At 49.3% G+C, this 20,579-nt stretch overlaps 1 long non-coding RNA gene across 2 annotated transcripts; it reads left to right on the top strand.

The window, feature by feature from the left end:
* Positions 1-3: 3 nt before the first annotated feature.
* On the top strand, positions 4-15,804 carry PAQR5-DT (PAQR5 divergent transcript). Of its 2 annotated transcripts, NR_184009.1 has the most exons (4): positions 4-289; positions 10,238-10,345; positions 12,481-12,848; positions 14,628-15,804. It is a non-coding gene; the product is annotated as a PAQR5 divergent transcript (long non-coding RNA). The 2 variants fall into 2 exon arrangements; NR_184010.1 differs by lacking the exon at positions 12,481-12,848.
* Positions 15,805-20,579: the final 4,775 nt, after the last annotated feature.

Raw genomic sequence — 20,579 nt, 5'->3', positions numbered from 1 at the left:
CCCATTCCACAGCCTGAGGTGCCACCAAAGCCATAAGCCCAGGGGAGTCTCTCACACCCCATTCTCCTAGGGCCCATGTACCCCACGCCCACCTCCACCCCAGGAGCCGAAGGCCGGCAGGGAGCCTGGAGAGCCTCCTTGATGGGAGAACTGCGGAGCTTGCCCCTCGGAAAAGTGCATGGGGTGGAGAACAGGGAAGGAGAAAAAAACAACAACTGGGTACTCGCAGCCCCACCGCGGTGTCCGCTTCGCCGGTGGGAGAGGATCCTCGCCGCCCTGAATCCTTGAAGTGAGTTCCACCCCTGTCTCTTGGAGTGCTCAGGGTGGCGGGCCCTTTGCCAGCCCTCACCCTTTCCCCAGGGATCCTGTCCCAGGTCACAGGCTCCTAGACTGGAAGGCGCTGGGCCTGGACCTCTGCCACTCAGTGGACACAGCTATAAGAGATGAAGGGACACAGAGGACAAAGAAGAAACATTTGGCTTCAGGGAACCAGACTCTGTGTCTCCTCCCAGGTGCTGAAGGAACAGGTTGCAGCTACCTGGTGCCCCCACCCCGACCCTGCCAGAGAAAGGTTGGAACATCCACACCTGTGGACCGAAGTCCCCCACCAGGCTCTTTCCTCCCACCCTTCAGCCCCAGGCTCTCTGAGCTCCTGCTCCTCCCTGCCTTGCCTTGTTTGCTGAGGGCACACACAGTGGAGAGAGCACAGGACTGGGAGTCCAGAGACCTGGGCTCTAGTCTACTCTGTGACTCGGGTCAAGTCTCTGGCCCTTTGTGGGCCCAAGTTGCCCCATTTGCAGTGAATAGGTTGCAGTCAATTATCTCCGGCCATTTTTACGGATCCTGAACCGTGGTCTTGGGCACCTTGCTTTATTAGGCTTTTTGGTGGCTGTGCATCTTGTAAGGGTGTGTATGCATGTGCGTGTGTGTGTGCGTGCGACATGCGCTTGTCCTCTCAGACCCAAGTTCTTAAAGGGAAAGAGACTGGGGCCTACACAGAGGCAGGCATGTATATTCCACAGACCAGAGTTTGACAAGAATGACTGGACACAAGAGTGGAGCCCAGTCCCAGCTCTATGCTGAATTCAGAGTAGCCTTGGACAAGACCCTCACCATCTACAAAATGGAGATTAATAATCCCTGCTTTGCCTTTCCAAGGCTAGTCGGGGGACTCAGTGAGATATTAGATATGAAGCTCTTTGAAGGGGAATAGCACAGGGATGTGTGCTTTTGATGTCTGGGCCAGTGATGGGTTTGGGGGAAGAATAGGGTGTGAAGCATTCTCTGGGAGGCAAAGGCTGGCACTGGACTGATTGGCCACCCTGCCAAAGCTGCAGCATGCACAGCACAGGCAGGCACCCCACCACCAGCAGCCAAGGTGAGCAGAGATGCCTGGTGCCCCACCTGGATTCCTGCCTGCTGTAGGTATCTGTGTGTGCACCTTGAAGAAACTAAAGAGGGAAGATAAAGAGGCTCCCAACCTAAATGGAGGTGGTCAGTGGATTACTGATGAATCGATCTGCATATCTTGGCCAAAATCACCCTCCTCTGCTCTTAGGGAGTTTAAAGTCTAACTGAATGATTGAACATGAACCCTTTGGAGAATGATGTGGAGCCAGGAGAGGGGATTGTGGATGGTGAGCACACAGGATGATCAGAGGAGGGGGAAGGGCAGGGAGGGGCCGGGGAGGGGGGTACTTAGACCACATGGAGATGCATTTAGAGTATTGTGTTCAACACTCCTATTTCATAGTGATGAAATGGAGGCCCAGAGAGGGAAAGTGACCTGCCCAAGGTCACACAGTCACAAGAAGTCAGTAGCAGAGCTAGAACTTGGACCCAGGACTTCAGGAATCTATGCTGGATTTGAGCCTCCTGTGCAGCCGAGGGAGACCTGAAGTGTGGGAAGGACTGGGATACGTACCAGTGGGCAGGAAGAAAGAGTGAGGCAAAGTGCAGAGGTGGGAACTTTGTACAGCAAGGGAAAGGAGCTGGAATCACAGGCAGGATCTGGAAGGAGGGAGCTGCCCAGACCTGGAAAGCCAGGCTGAGCACTGCAGACCACAGAGGGTTTCGAGCTGACACCAGTTGGGAAGATACAGGCGTGCGAGGGGCACACGCCCAAATGACCCAGTGAGACAGCAGGTGACATGACAGCAAGGCAGCAAGGAGACGGGGAAGAGCAGCTCCAGGAGTCAGGCAACCTCCAATCAAATGGCCTTGAGCAAGTTGTCTCTCTTCTCTGACCCTCAGTTTCTTTTTTGTGGAGTGAGAGATAATCATCTTTTTTTCCTTTCAGGGTTATTGTAGTGACCACAGAATGCATTTGGAAGTGCTCTGTAAACTGCAGAGTGCTAAGTAAATTTAATATTTGGAGTTGTGTTTTATTTTCCAAAGGGCTCAGTAAACATTTGTGGAACTGACTGATATTGGATTGGACACTCTCCTCATGGCAATGGGCAGAGGGACCACAAACGGAGGGGGGCAGGGATTGGGGTGGTCAGAGGGAGTCCTGGCAAGGGTGTGAAGGAAGGAGAGCTTCAGTCTTAAATGTGAGTCTCCCTCTGACATCTTTACAACATAACTCAAAAAGCCTTTTTGGGGGGAAACAGTCCTACCCCAATCCATGTGACTCAAAATGCCCCATCTCTTCCTTTGCCTGTGTGTTCAAGGGGCGCCATATCAGATGTCACTATTCTATGTGTTCTTCACCCATCCCCACTGGCCATCTACTCCTCAGGCACTCACCAGCTCCTCCTGGGTGGGCCCAGACGTTATATTTGTTTACAAGGCCTTGTTGGATAGCAGAAACGGTACTACAGAAACCATCGCCCTTAGTTAATATGGCAAGATTCAGGTCCCTCACATGTGTTCTCAGCCCCCTGGCACCCAACTCTACCCCAATCCATAAGTCCGCTCACGCCTCCCCTCTCCTTGGCAATGGAGTCACCAGGGCAGGGCTTACTGCCCCACTTGGCAGATGAGAAAACGGAGGCTAGGAGAGAGGCGCTGCCTGGCAGCGCGAAACCTAGAACAGCCTCACCCACACCGTCAGAGTTGCCCTGCTGATGAGGCCATTATCTCATCAGGGCTGGAAGTATTTGCCTCATTTGACAGAGGAGGAAATGGGCACTAAGGGCAAGGACATGCTTTACGGGAACTTCTTGCAGAGCTTTCTTTTCTGCCACTGTATCCAGATAAGGGGTCCATGTTGCCAGTGGTTTCCCAGTGTTGCCGTGACAAATTATCATGCACAGCACCTTCAAACGACAACTATTTACTCTCAGTCCTGGAGGCCAGAAGTCCCAAGTCGGGGCATTGCAGAGTTGTGCTCCCTCTGAAGCTTCCATGGCTCCCTCTGACCGCTGCCCATCCCTGCCCCCTACGTTTATGGTCCCTCTGCCCATGGCTGTGAAGAGACACCATGCCCAATCCAACACTGGTCAGTTCTACAAATGTTTACTGAGGCCTTTGGAAGATAAAACACAACTCCAAATATTGAATTGGCTTATCACTCTGCAGTTTACAAAGCCACTTCCAAATGCATTCTGTGGTCACCACAATAACCCTGAGAGGGAGAATCCTTCCTTGTCTCTTCCAGCTTCTGGTTCCCAGCATCCCTGGGCTCGTGGCAGCATCACACAATCTTGCCTGTCTTCACATGCTGTCTCTGTGTGTCTGTGTCCTCTCGTCTCTGTAGAACAGCAGTCACTGGAGTCAGGATGAGCTCATCTCAAGATCCTTAGCTTAAGTACATCTGCAAAGACCCTTTTTCCAAACAACATCACAGTCACGGGTAGAGGAAGTTAGGATGTGGACATACATTTTGGGGACACTGTTCAATCGACATCAGTGTCTTTCCCCCACTGGCAGCACAAGGGGATCCAGCAAGGTCAGTTTCTTCCTTTTATCCTTCCCTCAACTTCTCACTGTGTCAGAGAGGGTCTCCTATAGCATCTTCTCCTATCTGGTCATGTTATGGAGGAGAAAGGAGGGTAAAGACATATAGGGTCCTTGCTGGGGACATTGAGTTGGGGGACTTACCTCCCTCTAACTCCCTTTCCTACCACCTCACAGTCTGGCCATGGCTTTTTTTTTTCTTTCTGTCACCCAGGCTGGAGTGCAATGGCACTATCTTGGCTCACTGCAACCTCTGCCTCCCAGGTTCAAGCGGTTCTCCTGCCTCAGCCTCCTGAGTAGCTGGGACTCAGGTACCACCACGCCTGGCTAATTTTTGTACTTTTAGTAGAGATGGGGTTTCACCATGTTGGTCAGGCTGGCCTCAAACTTCTGACTTCAAGTGATCCACCCGCCTCAGCCTCCCATGTGCTGGGATTACAGGCGTAAGCCACCGCACCCGGCCTGGCCATGGCCTTTCAAAAGGACCCTGGATCCCCTTCCTCTAACATCTTCCCATCATGGGGTCCCTATGGAAAGATGTCCCTTACGGTGAATAGGCTCAGAGAAAATGCCTGTTCTCCCTTCTCACCCCATCTGTGCCCCAGCCCTTCTTCTGATGCCCAGGTCCTAAGAGCCCCTTTGCCAGGGAGCCACAAAGCTTTGAATTCCATGCGGAAAGCACAGACTTCCAGGCAGAACCCCTTGGGGCAGGAGACACTGTGACTGGCATGGATCCCCAGGTGTGACCCTGTCTTGAGAGCAGGATTGAGGGAGGTGGAGCATGGGAAGCTGGCCTTTGGAGAGTGTGTGTCAGGGGGAAGATGCTGAGACAGGAGGAGGGTGACCTGCCTTGGCCAGAGAGAGAGATCACAAGGGCCTGTCATGTCCGGTACTTGAAGGAAGCCCCAGGCGTGCCCTGTGCCAGGTGGGCTCCTGAGGGCCAGTAGCCATCAAGGACCAGAACACTCAGCAAGGCCTTCAGGGCCATCTGACCTAGGGAGGAAAGCTGCTTGCAGAGAAGTAAAGATGCAGTGAGGGGACCAGCAGGCTTGCAGCATCCAGGTTGCCTCTGTCTCGGTGCCAGCTTCCCAGGCCCAGGCAATATCTTTACAGCAGCTGAGAGTCCACGGTGCCTCTTGGGCAGCCCCCTGCTTGCAAAGGGAGAACTGGGGGGCTGGGCTTGAAGCTACAATAGGATAGAAGCAGCCTGTTTCATTTAGGTGGAGGGTTTAATTGGGGTGGCTTGGAGGAGGGTGATTATAGAGGCCTCTATGAAGGGGGGTTAGCCCACCCTCCCCTGCATGCATCCCAGTCACCCACAGTAATTTCTGTTTTATCCTATTAGCTTAAGAGGGTCTCTGTTCCTGCATCCATAATTGCTCTAATAAGAAAACATAACGTCTGGTCCATTGGTTCTTAATCCTGGCAACAAGTTAGCATCCGACGCTATTTAATTCAAATCTCTGGAGGTGAGGCCCACGTCTCTTTTAAGGCTCCCAGGGGATTCTGATGTGCAGCCAGGGCGGAGACCCCCAGGTAGTCCAACTACCTCGGCCTGCTTGATTCTTGGGGCACCTTGAGAGGCGAGGCCACGGCTGCTTCCTTACCATCTCGCTCCTACAGTTCTCTGGGTTGGGCCCAGCACACAGCAAAGACATATAAATATGTATGTATGTGTGGACACACAGAGCCTTCTACTGCCGCTCCAGCAAATAGCCATGGTGGTGGATTCTTCCCAGCAGCAATTGCAATTGCCCTTACTGTCTGAATCACGGGCCATCAGTTACACAGTGCTTGCTGCTTCCCTGGGTTTCTCCTTGTTGCCCATGCCCCCTCTCCCAGTGAGTGGATGCTGCAGATGCTGAAGCTGTCCCCACTCAGGGAGGAACGGGAAGGAGCGAGCATCTTCTGGGCAGCTTCTGGGATCTGCTCTCAGCCTGAAGCCACTGCCTCTCCTTTAGGGCTAAAGTCCTTTAAGGATTACTCCAGGCAAAACTTCCACTGCCCCAGCAAGCACAGAGACTCCTTCCCTGACCCCATCTCCCTCTCAACCCTAAGGTACCAACTGTCTGCAAGCCCCAAGCAAAACCTCTACTAGGCTGTCTCTTTCAAGAGCCACAAAAATAATCATCACTTTTCATCCAGCAATCACACACCTGAGAACGTAGCCCATGGAAATAATCCTGAAAAAATGAAAAAGCCCTTTGAACAAAGTTTCAGCCTTATGTCTAATAGCCAGAAACTTGAAGCAACCTAAATGCCCAGCTCCAGAGCGCTGGTAAGCAAAGCATGCTCATGTTAAAAGCTAATAGTGAAGACTGTGGCAACGTGGAGAAATGCTGATGATATGGTGTTCGGTGCAAATTGCATTGCGCTGGAGCCCAGCTATGAGAAAATTGTGTATGTATGAATGAGAGATGGAGGGGAATTGCAAAAGTAAAAAGAAAACCAATGCCCATTTACTAGGTTTGGGGGATTGTAATTTTTTTTTATTTGTGGTGGTGTTATAATATTGTTTGTGCAATAAATATTTTATATGAAGAAATAATAATGATAATAATTTCTTGTACATCCAGAGAAGCCTCTTGAATGCACCTATTCCAGCACAGGTGTACCTGAGCATGGATCCTCACATGGACTGTCTTTCTGGAGTGTTTGCATTTGAAAGAAGCCTACACTGCAGCCAGGGTGACAGCTATTTTATTTTATTTATTTATTTATTTTTGAGTCAGAGTCTCGCTCTGTCACCCAGGCTGGAATGCAGCGGCATGATCTCCTGGCTCACTGCAACCTCTGCCTCCTGGGTTCAAGCGATTGTCGTGCCTCAGCCTCCCAAGTAGCTGAGACAAAAGGCGCTCACCCAGAGGCCTGGCTGATTTATTTTTTGTATTTTCAGTAGAGACAGGGTTTCACCATGTTGGCCAGGCTGGTCTCAAACTCCTAACCTCAAGTGATCCTCCCGCCTTGGCCTCCCAAAGTGCCGGGATTACAGGCGTGAGCCACCATGCCCGGCCGGTGACAGCTATTTTATTATGGGCAAGGAAAGGCCCTGAGCTCACCACCCGTAGCTGACCCCTTCCCCACACAGCCACCCACAGGACCACCAGCCTTCCTAGCTCAGTGCACTCTCCTTTGTGCAATGCAGGAAGGGGCAGACAGTCGTGCAGAGCTTACAGGCAACTCAGGCTCCAAGCCTCACTTTCTCTGGGCGGTATTTTACTCCATATTAAGAATATCTGGGCTGGTGCGGTGGCTCATGCCTATAATCCCAGCACTTTGGGAGGCCAAGGTGGGTGGATCGCCTGAGGTCAGGAGTTTGAAACTAGCCTGGCCAACATGGTGAAACCCTGTCTCTACCAAAAATACCAAAATTAGCTGGGTGTGGTGGTATGCGCCTGTAATCCCAGCTACTCGGAGGCTGAGGTAGGAGAATCACTCGTACCGGGGAGGCGGAGGTCACAGTGAGCCGAAATCATGCCATTGCACTCCAGCCTGGGTGACAGAGTGAGACCCCATCTCAAAAAAAAAAAAAAAAAAAGGATTATCTGTAGGGTCAGATGGGGATACTTTGAAAGAGTAAGAAGGGGGCCAAGGGGCCACAGCTTGTATGAGAGCTGAACCCAGGTGGTCTCAGCCAAGGGCACAGGCCTTCTACCTTCTGTTTCTGGGTCTTCCCCCTGAGATTGGGGAGGAGAGAGGTGACCAGCCGCTCTCCTGAGCCTCCTCTGCAGCAGGCTGGAGGGCTATGGACTCTTCTAGGGCTGAGACAGGGTGCTGACTCCAGGGAGGAGGGGGCTGGCACTGGGCCTGGGGCTTTCTTAACATCTGGGTGTGGACGTTTTGAAGTTGTGTTCTCAGGAAAGGCTTGAGGAAGCCTTGCTGTGTTCTCTGTTCCCACCCAGCTCAAAAGACGTAGGAAGTTCTCCCTGGCTGCTCTCCTGGGGCCTGGGCTGGACTTGCTGGCTGTGGGGCAGCTCAGGGCAGGCCAAAGAACCCTATGACATACCCAGTCTGCTCAGGGTGTGGAAGTCAGATTTACACAAAACATTCCATGGGAAGGGAAGGCTTCACTTTGATAAGAGGATTTAAAGTGATAATAACAGCCAATGTTTACCAAGCTCTTGCTACAAGCTAGGTGCCAAGAGCTTTGCAGGATCAGTATCTCATGTGGTACTCACCAAACTCCATGTCTATCACCATCCCATTTTATAGATTGGAAAGTTGAGGCTGTGACGTCTACAAGATCACACAGCTGGATCTCAAATCAGGACTGGCCCAAAGTTTGTGTTCTCAGTTGCTGTCTCCCGCTCTGAGGCCCACTGGCCCCCAGCCATGGCAAGCCTGGGCGTGAATTACCCAGTAGGTTTCACACGGTTCTTAGTACCACTTCTCTTAGTAATCAGAGAGTACATTTAGATTTTCAAAAATTAAATATAGATATAATTCTTCCTTGAACATATATGCTCTGAATTCACCACCACATATATCCTATAGCTAATGTTCAAAACAGGACTCCTATTCACTTCAACCAGCCAATCTGGAGGCTCTTACAGGATCGTGCCTTTGAGGCAAAAATGGTGAATATTCAGATAATGTGGGGAGCAGGCATTTTGTCCACTGTTCTTTTGGGAAATATAGAGTACTTCTAGTCCATTTCATACATTAAACCAGAAGGGACCACGGAAATCTATTAGCTATTCTAGGAACAGTAAGATCCTAAAAGGGCAAGTGACTTGCTTGTCACTTCAGGAATTAAAGGCTGACCTTGCATTCATTGCCACCTGTCCCGCTGGGGTTTCTTCCTCCTTAAACATTTTTGTGCAGTTATTTTGGGGGCAGTTTCTGACACTTGTATTAGAGAGTCCCTTTGGGTCCAGCTTGTCTCACACCTACCCTACGCAGTTTATTTTGGTTCTGTTGTAAAAATCCAAGTGTAAAAGCTTCCATCTAACACCCCCATCTGATGAGCCATGTGGATTATCCTGGGCTCCAGTGACAGTAGCAGCCACTGGGAATCTACTAAAGCAGTGTTTGCAAACTTCCTGGCTATTAAGTAACTTTCTGAACCGTAGCTGGATTTGAGAACACTTCTGAAATCCCTGCTAAATATTTTAGCATGGAGAGGGAGTTGCAAAAGAGAGGAAGAAGATAATCGAGGGCTGTGTAAATATTTAATTTAGCCTCAAGCTGGTAGCCTTAATTACAGAACATTAACGTCTTTATCATAATATTCCCAGGTCTAACTAATGATAAACAACCCTTTCTCAGGCTCACTATCAAAACCCCCAATCAGAAGTCTCCAGCCAGAGCCTCTTTCTATTGGTCCCAGGTTCTGCTCCCTCCATCCTGCAAGGTCGCATACTCCTTCACCTCCTCGGCATGTCCTTGCCACAGGGGCGGAGTGGGAGGAGGGACAGATTGCAGATCCCTGCTTATAGACAGGGAAACCAAGATTTAAAGGGTCAGGGAAGCTGGTAAGTGTCAGAGCCCAGGTTTCCTCATCCACATCCTGAGCATTTTCTGTCCCAGTTTGGGGTTTGCAGGGAGGACCCCCAATGACTCCTCCCTTCTGTGAGCTCAGTTCTCCTGCACTGAATGACTAAAGAGAGTCAGCGTATCACACAGAGAGGAAGAACCGTGTGAAACCTAGAAGGTAATTCATGCCCAGGCTCGTCATGGCTGGGGGCCAGTGGGCCTCAGGGCGGGAGACTGATCTCCAGGCAAGCCAGAATCAAAGCCAGCACCCAGCCCACTCCCCAAGCGCAGGTCCGAATGCCAGCTTCCCATTTACCCTACTTCCGGCAGCAGCATCTCCACGCTCATTCACCACTCCAGGGCCAGGTACTTCGTGTCCTCTAATTCTCAGGACAACCTGGCAAGGCTGCTGTTACCATCCCATATGCAGGAGGAAGTAACCAAGGAGGCTCATAGTGGTTAAGTAGCTTGTTCCAGCTCACACACTTGGCAAGTGGCTGAGTCAGGACTTCAACCAAAAGCCCATGTTCTCTTGGTGCCCCTATACACCATGCCTACCAGCTAGGACCCCAGAAGCCCCTTCACTGCTGACCTCCACAGTGCTGGCCTGGTTGCCCCACTGCCTGGTTGGTGCTGCCTGTGGAGCTCGGTCCTGAGGGCAAAGCCTCAACCCTGAGCCCCACCTTGAATTGAAGGACTCATGTGTTAGGGAGCACTGTGGGGCCTCATCGCCTTTGACCTGGAGCATTTGATCCAGGTCAGATGCTCACAGGTGGGCCAGGGCTCAGGGGGAAAGAAGGGGAGGCTTCATCTGGCTCCTGATTTCTTTGTTTATTTATTCATTCATTCTTTCTTTCTCCAGATCCTTGCCGAGCATCTGCTCTGTACAGGCCGTGTACTAAGTGCTAGAGAGATGGTGTGGGGTAGATAATGGCTTCCAGAGATGTTCACGTCCTGATCCACAGATCCTGTGAGTATGTTACCCTGCATGGCAAAAAGGATGTTGCAGATATGATTAAGTTAAGAATCTTGAGATGGGAAGGTCATCATGGATTATCAGGGTAGGCCCAATGTAATCACAGCGTCCTTTTAAGAAGGAGGCAGGAGGATCAGAGTCAGAGAAGGAAGTGTGGCGACGGAAGTGGAGGTCAGAGCAATATGGCCATGAGCCAAGGGATGCCATCGGCCTCTGGAAGTTGGAGAAGGCAAGGAAAGGGACCATTCCCTAGAGCCTCCAAGAGGAACACAGCCCAGCCAGCACCTTGGTTTTAGCGCAGCGAAACTGCTTTCAGATTTCTGATCTCCAGAACGATAAGATAATACACTTGTGTTGCTTTAAGCCACTACTTTTGTGGTGATTTGTGATTGCTACAATTGGAAACTAACAAATAGCAAGATAAATGAGATGTGGTCCCTAGCCCTGAGTAGCCCTTTATGGGACTGTAGCAGAATCCCCTGGAGGGCCCTCCATCAGTTGGAGGACACAACTGATTTTGGGCCCCACCCACAGAGCTCCTGATTCAGTAGGTCTGGGTTGGAGCTGAGAGGCTGCACTTCTCAGAAACTCCTAGGAGAGCCGCTGCTTGGGAACCACATTTTGGGAACCACTGGTGTAGGGCAGTGGGCCTCAAACTTTAATGTGCCTTCACCTGTTCTGGAGAATCTTGCTAAAATGCAGGTTCTGAAGTATGAATGGGCTTGTTGATTTGTGGATATGTCTACTGCCTGACTCCTCTGTTAGAATGCATGGTCCCTGAAAGCAGGGGCTCTGCTGTGATTGCCCCTGCTGGGTCCCCAGACCCTGGAGCTGAGCCTGGCTATAGATACCCAATAAACATCTGTGGCATGGATGGGCTTGGAGCCCATGAGAACAGTTTAGGCCAGACACAGTGATGTGGGTGTCTTGGGTGCCCTTGCTGATGCCACAGAAGTAAATTAAATCCCACAGGGACAGAATGAGGGCCAGGAAGGAAAAGGGGAAGGAAAGGATCCCCAGGGACCTCCACCCCAGGAGAGGGACTCAGCAGGAGTGTCAGTGAAGGAGACGGCCAGGGGAGGAAGGCGTTCCCGTTGGAAGGAAAGGCAGCAGCACCAAGAGCTGAGAGCCAGAGGAGGCTTCTGGGAAAGGCTGTTGAGAGGGAAAACTGAGGTACATGACTTCCACTGCTGGGGGTCTCCACAGTGGCATCTCTTACAAGAAGGGCTGAATGATGACTGGAGGGGGGGCTCAGATATATGTCTATGTTTTTCTCTCATCGCTTAAATAATTTATAAAAATAATATGTGTGTGTTGGAAAATATTTAGGAAAAGTCTAAGAAATAGAAAGAAAAAAAATGAAATTTCTATAATTGCCACACCCAGAAATGAGGCCTGTTTATATTTTAATGTATTTCAGTGTTTGTTGAACACATGTACGTAACATATACACAATTTTCCTTCAAGTTTGGATTAATATTGTGTATATCTTTAAATTCTCTTTCTTTTACTTAATACATTTTTCCAAAACTATTTTTCATGTTATTTTAAAGTGCAAAACATAATTCTTAAGGGATGGATAATAACCTTTTGCACAAATACACCCTAATTTATTTAACTAATCACTTATTTTTGAGTATTTAGATCATTTTGTTGTGGTTTTAATTTATATTACCCTTAGACTATGATGTTCAGCATCTTTGCGTGTGTGTGTGTGTGTGTGTGTGTGTGTGTGTGTGTTTGTCATTCTCATTTCTTCTTTGGTGAAGTATCTATTCAGTCTTTTGCCTATTTTTAATTGGCAAAATGTACTTATTTTCTCACTGTTGAGTCTTTTTATGTCCTTTGTCAAATATATGATTTGTAAATATTTTCTGCCAGTCTGTGGTTTGTGTTTTCATTTTCACTTTTTTTTCAGAGCAAACATTTTTAATATTGATAAAATCTCATTTATCATTTTTTTCTTATAGATTATTCCTTTAGTATCTGAAGGTCACACATATTTTCTCCTATATTTTCTAGAAGTTTCATAGGTTTATGTTTTACACTTAGGACTATAATCCATTTTGAGTTCATTTTTGTGTAAGGTGTGGGTATGTGAGATCCTTTCTTTTTTGTTTTGAATATAGATATGTGAGTGGAAAAAAGCCACAAATTGAAAATGTTTTTTATCTGCTCTCACATCACAACAATCAACACAGAAGACTTCTGTGCCCACATATGTGAGGATTTCTCTCACCAGCAAACAAGCAATCAGTTCTGCAGTGGACACCAGCTGGGTGTCCTCCGATTCAGTTCTGACACTCTCTACCTAAAGACCGCGTCCGATCCCAGAGGTTGAGGGCTCTGGGTGTCCTCCGATTCAGTTCTGACACTCTCTACCTAAAGACCGCGTCAGATCCCAGAGGTTGAGGGCTCAGTCTCACAAGACTGCCCCCCGACTTCCGCCGCCAACCGCAAGCCCCTGGTTGTTTTACCTGTGCTTCTGACCAAGCAGGTATAAATCAGGGTCCCCACTACCCTCCCCCTGGGTTTGATTAATTTGCTGGAGCGGTTCTACAGAGCTCAGGGGAACACTGCTTATGTTTACTGATTTATTATAAGGAATATTATAAAGGATACCGATGAGGCGACACATAGGGTGAGATATGGGGAAGGGGGACAGAATTTTCATGTCCTCCTCAGATGCAGCATTCTCCGTAAACCCCACGTGTTCAGCTACCGAGAAGCTCCTGTACCCCTTCCTCCTGGGCCTTTTTTTTTTTTTTTTTTTTTTTGAGACGGAGTCTTGCTCTGTCGCCCAGGCTGGAGTGCAGTGGTGCAATCTCGGCTCACTGCAAGCTCCGCCTCCCAGGTTCACGCTATTCTCCTGCCTCAGCCTCCCAAGTAGCTGGGACTACAGGCGCCCACCACCACGCCCGGCTAATTTTTTTTTTTTTTTTTTTTTTTTTTTTGGATTTTTAGTAGAGACGAGGTTTCACCGTGTTAACCAGGATGGCCTCAATCACCTGACCTCGTGATCCACCTGCCCCAGCCTCCCAAAGTGCTGGGATTACAGGCGTGAGCCACCGCGCCCGGCCTGTTTTTTGTTTTTTTTTTTTTTTTTTTTAGACAGGGTCTCGCCCTGTTGCCCAGGCTGGAGTGCAGTGGTGCAGTCTTGGTTCATTGCAGCCTCAACTCCCCAGGCTCAAGCCATCCTCCTATCTTGGCCTCCCAAATAGCTGAAACTATAGGCACGCCACCGCACCCAGCAAATTTTTACATTTTTTTTGTAGAGACAAGGTCTTGTATGTTGCCCAGGCTGGTCTTGAAGTTTTGGGCTCAAGCGATCCTCTTGCCTCAGTCTCTTTAAGTGCTGGGATTACAGGCATGAGCCACTGCGCTCAGCCCCTAATTAATAACTTTTAAATAATATTTAGACACATGGTGGGCGGCCTCCATTTGTTCTCTTGTTCCAGGGCCCAGAGGCATCGAGAGCCAGCCCAAAGACCTCTGCCGATGGCAAAGTGTTGTACTGACTCTCACACCTCTCCTTTCGAGAGGCTTCAAGGCATGATGGGACAATCACTGCATTTGAAACAAGATGACCCACTTTAGCTTAATTTTCTTCCATCATCATAAGTCAAAAGCGATCCTGCCTGCCTCCCGGCACTGCTTAGAAATCCCATGAAAGAGTGCACAGGTGGCCGGGCACAGTGGCTCTCACCTGTAATCCCGGCACTTTAGGAGGCCAAAGCAGGTGGATCACTTGAGGTCAGGAGTTCGAGACCAGCCTGGCCAACATGCTGAAACTCCGTCTCTACTAAAAATACAAAAATTAGCCGGGCGTGGTGGTATGCACCTGTAATCCCAGCCACTCCGGAGGCTGAGGGGGGAGAATCACTTGAACCCAGGAAGTGGAGGTTGCAGTGAGCTGAGATTGCACCACTGCCCTCCAGCCTCAGCAACAGAGGGAGACCCCATCTCAAAAAAAAAAAAAAAAAAAAAAAAAGAGTGCACAGGCAAGGGCTCCTCCCATGAAGAGGACCGGACAGATGGAGACCATTCTTCTTGTGCCCCAAGACTGGGGCTCCTATGCCTTACCTGCTTTCTAAGGCACTCCTGCTGGATTTTGGTGGCAAATCTGGGTAGTCATTTTTCATTCCGCAGGACTCCTCCTTACTCACAGTTGAGCCAAGGACAGCCAAGTGACCTGTGACATAACATTGTTCGCAAAATGAGCTGGAACAGAAAACAGTGTCTTGATCCTACCACTTGTTTCTCTTCTCCTCCCCAGGACATCATGACCTCCAGTGTGCATTCAACCTAACAGAGCTGCTAAACTCATTGCCTTTCTGCTCTGCCTCTCCTCTCTCCTGCAACACCCTCTCTGTCTCATAAATATAGTCACAATTTTCTCATGGTTTAAGCCAAGAAACAGTTAAAAACTCTAAAGTCTTTTATCCAATGCATTAAAAAACTGAGATACTAAATTAGATAAGTTGTTATCCGGTAGAACTCACGAAAGAATCAAATGTTCTCGACAAAATTTAGAACAAAATTTGACCCTGGAAAATGGAGGTGATAGAAATAAAGTCCACAAAAGGAAACTTGCCACGGCAGCAGCTATCATTGGTGAAAGTTGATATTGACAAAAATCGATCTATGAACCACAGTTCTGATATAAAATTCAAATGAAAAAGAATTGGTCCCAATGAAAATAATTTCAGTCCATTGGAAATGAAAAAGTGGAAAAATTGGAAATAGTTTAACCGAGCTTTTTACAGAATTGATCAAGGAATTAAATTGACTTAATGGAGTCCATTCTGGAAAACCCTTTCCCAAGAAAAATTCATCAGTCAGAGAACTTCTGAGTTACATATTTGTATTAAAAATATCTCCATAGGCTGGGTGCAGTGGCTCATGCATGTAATCCCAGCACTTTGGGAGGCCGAGGCAGGCGAATCACTTGAGGTCAGGAGTTCGAGACCAGCCTGGCCAACATGGTGGCAGACGCCTGTAATCTCAGCTATTTGCGAAGCAGGGGAATCGCTTGAACCCAGAAGGTGGAGGTTGCAGTGAGCCGAGATCACGCCACTGCACTCCAGCCTGGGTGAAAGAGCGAGACTCCGTGTCAACAACAACAAAAACAACAATATCTCCATAGGTATTTGGTAGTAAAAATGAAAAAAAGAGAGAAAAATGTCTCCAGTGGATCCTCCATGAGATTTTCATGAAGAACCCAGGAGTGCTGGTCTGTGGTGGGAGCTTCACCCGGGAGGAGTAGAGAGGGCTGGGAGAGGGTGATGTCTGGTACCTTTGGGCCCCTCTCCATAAAAATGTAGAAAAAATTAGATTATATGACTGCATAGATATACAGATGAATGCAATTCAGGCTGGATTCCTTATTTTAGATTCATTGTTATTATGTTCTTTTATTCTTCTGATTTTAAAATAAATTAAAATTAAACATTTTAAGGGCCCCTAAGAAGTATTGTGGGCCCTAGGCACTGTAGCTAACAGATAATTGGCCCTGGTGGGGTCTCAGGTCAAGGGGAAGCAGAAACGTCTGGGTGAACCTGGGGTGGGTGGGGTGGAGAGAAGAGGTGGGGCTGTCTCTGCATCTCCTTAGTGGACAGCGCCCGTGTGACCGCCACAGCCCAGCTCCCATGGATGGATGCTCTGCTCTTCCCTGGGCTGGGGTGTTCATTCAGGTGTCTCTTCGCAGTGGATCTTTCACCTCTTAAGGAGCCCTGAGTTCATTTCTGTATTGCAATAAAGAGCTCAGCTGAAACAAACACCCAGTCCTAATGTCCCCTCCTGAAAGTGGTGAAGCCCCTCCCAGAGCAAACTCATTTCATGGTTGTCCAGCCTTGGTTGCATCATCCACTGTGGAGAGCCAACTGGACATGTGTTTTCCTCTCTGATCTAGCTATGAGCTATTTGGGGCTGAGATTGGGTCTTTCTCTTTTGACCTAGCCTGCTACCATTAAACCCCATCAACATGCCAGTGTCGAGTGCCTATTGCATGCCAGACCCTGTATCCTGGGCTCTGGGAGGACCACATTAAGCAAGACACAGCCCTGCCCTCAAGGGGTTTATCCAGCGCTCGCTGAGGAAGGTTTTTTCAGCTTCGGCATTGACATCGGGACTGGGTAACTCTTGGTTGTGGGGGGCTGTCCTGTGCATTGTAGGATGTTTGGCAGCATCCCTGGCCTCTCCCACTAGATGACAGGGGGATTCCCTCCCTCCAATCGGTGACCATCAGAAATGTCTCCGGACATTGCCGAATGTCCCCTAGGAAGCAAAATAGCTTCCAGGTAAGAGCAACAGCTTGGGGAATGGGTGTTGACAATCAAGTCAGAGAGGACTCAGGGAGCACACTGTAGTGCCAACACACCCGTGGCTAGGAATGGAAGGGCAAGGGATGCGGGTCTGGCTGTGGGTGTGGGGTTATCAGGGATGCTTCATGGAAGAAGGGGCTGTTTAACTTGGGCCTTGGAGCTGGGCAGACCTCTGGAAGAACTGACAGTAGTATGGAGGAGGAGAATTGAGAGAACTCTTGCCAAGTAAAACTGAGGAGAAATAAGCTCATGTTCCTGCAGAAATGATTGGGCTTAGATACTAGGTAGATCTCATTATCAAATGGAGGGTGGAGGCAGGTATAAATACCTATAAAATTCTGAACAATACATGGGTTACCCATGGGCTAAATCTAGTCTGAAGATATATATTACTTGGTCTATCCGGTAATAATTTATGAAATGAATTTAAATGGTACCCACCATTCCTTATCATCCACGGACTCAATTATTCACTTATACATTTTCCCCTGCCTGGTTTCTGAAGTCTGGTGACAAATCTTCCCCTGCCTGGTTTCTGAAGGCTTGTGAGTTTGTAGTTTGAGTTTTTAAATATAAAAACTGTAGTGATTTTTCACTTGGGGTTTGTGGACCCTTTTCAGATCTTTGTATGAAATTCAGAGTATCTGGAGGCCCAAAAACTGTGGACAGGGACCTTAAACATACCTAAATTCTCTGAGCATTATTCTGGTGAGAGAGTCCCTGGCTTTTGTAGAGTTCTGCGAAGGTCACCCCTTAACCTCCTGAAAGAGGCCTAGCCGGGTGGACAGAGGTCTCTGCAGGGCCCTGGAGGAACTCTGTGCAATCAGCAAAGAAGAGACCCAGGGCTGACTTCTGCAACCTTTTACTCTCGGTCTATTTTAATTCAGTTGGTGATTTTTAAAAAATGAATATACTACGAGATCTGTTTACAGTTACAGTAGGCACTATGACTGTCACCAGAGGGCTGGGCACATTGATTTAAGGCAGCTGTGCAAAGTGAGTAACTTTGTGAACCGGAGAGGAAGGCTTAGATTAGTGATTTTTTCCCCCCATTAAGAGGCAGCTCTGGAGGGCAAGGAGCCAGAAAGGGAGACAAGAATTGCATCGTGGAGGTGGGAGTCAGGCTGGGAGAATGTGGGAGGCTGGTGTGAGCCCCACAAGGCCTCTCTCCCCTGGCCAGGGCCCACTGGCTGTGCTGCCTCCCAGCAAACCATTCTCAAAAGAGGATCTGGTTACTCCAGTTACATCGAGGTGTAGATGATGAAAACAACTTACAATTTAGTCTGCATTTTAACCGCAATCATGGTTCAGCCCAAGTCTCTGATTCCAGGCATAGCTTGCTAGGGGTTGAGGGAAAGGTAGGGAAGACCTTTGGGGAGGAGCCCGCAAAGTGGGGTGGGGGAAGAGGCAGGAGGCCTGTTCTTGGACCCAAAAGCTTTTCCTCAAGTGGGAGCTGGAACTGTTCTTTGAGACCCAACCCTGAGGTATTTCTTCTGTGTGGTTCCACCATGGGCAAAGACGCCTTTGCATTGAAAACACAGCAATGAAGTGTGATTTTCCTGGCTTCTCTTGGTTTTCTACCACTCCTACCTTCCTGCAGCTTCTGCCTGAGCATCTGCTGGGCCCACCAGGCCTGGGCTAAGCTCTGGATTCCCCAAGACGGTAGTCCGGCTGCACTGTGTGTGTGGGGGGGTGGTGATGGGGGGGATACGGGCACACACACATGGGTCTGGGGCTCACCTCGACCCTGAGAGCTTCTTGAACGGCCTAGAGCATCTTAGGAACCAGGAGAAAGGCACCTGATATAATTAATGAAGGTGAGCAAGTGCTCTGCAGACAGCCAAGCCCCAGCGACAGGGAGGAAATGTGTATTTCCCTTTCTTCTCTTCACAATCTCCCGGCCTCCCTCCTGACCATTCCTTGAGCTTTGCTCTCTGCTTCCCAACAAAAAAGAATGCCAGACATCAGCTAGTTCTCAACCTTGGCCAAACATTAGTGTCAGCTGGGTAGTCAATGGAATCAGCTGGTAGACTTTAATCAGTCCAAGAACTGATTAGCTCAGAATCCCTGGCAGGAGTGGCCCAGACATCAGTGTCTTTAAAATTTTTTTAAAGGCTTTAATTTTTAGAGTAGTTGTAGGTTCATAGCAAAATTGAGGAAGGCACAGAGATCTCCCACATATCCTCTGCCCCCACATGTGCACAGCCTCCCTCATTGTCAACGTTCCCCGCCTGCATCGGTGACTTTTAGAACTCCCCAGGTGATTCCAGTGTGCAGGCAAGTTTGACAGTCAGTGCTCTAGAAGAGCTTCTTAAACTTCACCGTGCACAGCAGTTACCTGGGATCCTGGTGACGTGTTAAATGCTGGTTCTGATTCAGCAGGTTTCGGGTGGAGCTGGAGATTCTTCATTCCAACAAGCTCCCGGGCCATGCTGATGCTGGAGAATGTAAAGAACATGGTCAAAGTGTTGTGAGGAGAACTCTAGCCCCCAGCCCCCTCTCCATTCTGTGGGATCTTTCATCCATCCATCCATCCATTCCCCCATCCATCCATCCACCCATCCATCCAGTTAACCAACCAATATCTATTGATGTGCCAGGGCCTGTGCTAAGATGCTGGGTATGAGATGGAGACAAAGGAGTCAAGCCCCTGTCTTCAAGAAGGTCACATTCCAGTGGGGGAAGAGAGGCAGTGTGCAGGTAAACCTGCACGGGAACAGGTCCTTACAGCAAGGTATTATGATAAGGAGCACCTGGGTGTCCGCCTTGGCTGGCTGGGCAGAGATGGCCACACCAAGGAGTTGACATTGGAGCTGATGACTGAGTGAGGAGAAGCAGCCAGCCCCATGAAAACTCGAGAGCCAGGGTGCCAGGCAGGAGGAGCGTGGCAGTCCATGAAGCCCTCTGAGGGAGCCCAGTGGTGGATTGAGGAGGCTGAGAATGAGGGAGGGTAGGGGCAGGGGACAGCTCACTGAGGGCCTTGCAGACCTGCTGAGGAATTTCAATTCCATTTTCAGGTATTGGGAAGCTATTGGAGAGTTTTGAACAGCTGATGTTATTTTCCAAAACAATGACTCTGCTGGCTACATGGACACAGGCTTGCAGGGAGGGAGGCAGGGGCAGAAATCCCATTGGCAAACAAAGTGGCATCCGAAATGTCACACACACACACACACACACACACACACACACACACACCCCAAATCCTGTTTCCTCCACATACCTTAAAATGGAAGCAGTGCCATTGGAAGAAGCACTGCTCTCAGGCTCAGGAGAAGACCCAGTCTTTCAAAGACTCCTTTGGGAATGTCCAGACTTCCCACTTCAGACAGTGGCCCTTCTGCCATCCACAGCTGGACGTCCTTGATTCCCCATTAGTCCTCACTCCATACAGCCAGCGCACCGGCTCTGCCATGTGTCCTAGTCAACCCACCTCTCTCCACCCCTTCTCAGCCCTGGCCCCCCTTCCCTCTCACCACAGCTCCAGCATCCATCTCCTTAGGAGGCTTCTTGCTTCCACTCCTGCCCCTGCAATCCTGTGTCCACACAGCCACGGAGTCACCAAGATGTGAAGAGGCAAAGTCACTGGCTCCACACCCACAGCTGGCCAGCAGGGAACAGTCGACCCCCGACACGAAGCGGCTTTTCTCACAGCTACTCGAGCGCGAATCGCAGGGTGGCACTCAGGGGTATTCCCCAGGAATAAAACATAACTATCTTAAAGTTTATGAAGTAATTGGCACCTTAAGATGGAATATTTTTGGTCAGGTGTGGTGGCTCATGCCTGTAATCTTAGCACTTTGGGAGGCTGATGTGGGTGGATCACTTGAGGTCAGGAGTTCGAGACCAGCCTGGCCAACATGGTGAAACCCTGTCTCTACTAAAAATACAAAAATTAGCTGGGC

Source organism: Homo sapiens, chromosome 15 (genome assembly GCF_000001405.40).
Source record: "Homo sapiens chromosome 15, GRCh38.p14 Primary Assembly".
Taxonomy (NCBI): Eukaryota; Metazoa; Chordata; class Mammalia; order Primates; family Hominidae; genus Homo; species Homo sapiens.
The sequence above is the reverse complement of the archived record's forward strand: the minus strand, read 5'-3'. Positions and strand labels throughout refer to the sequence as shown.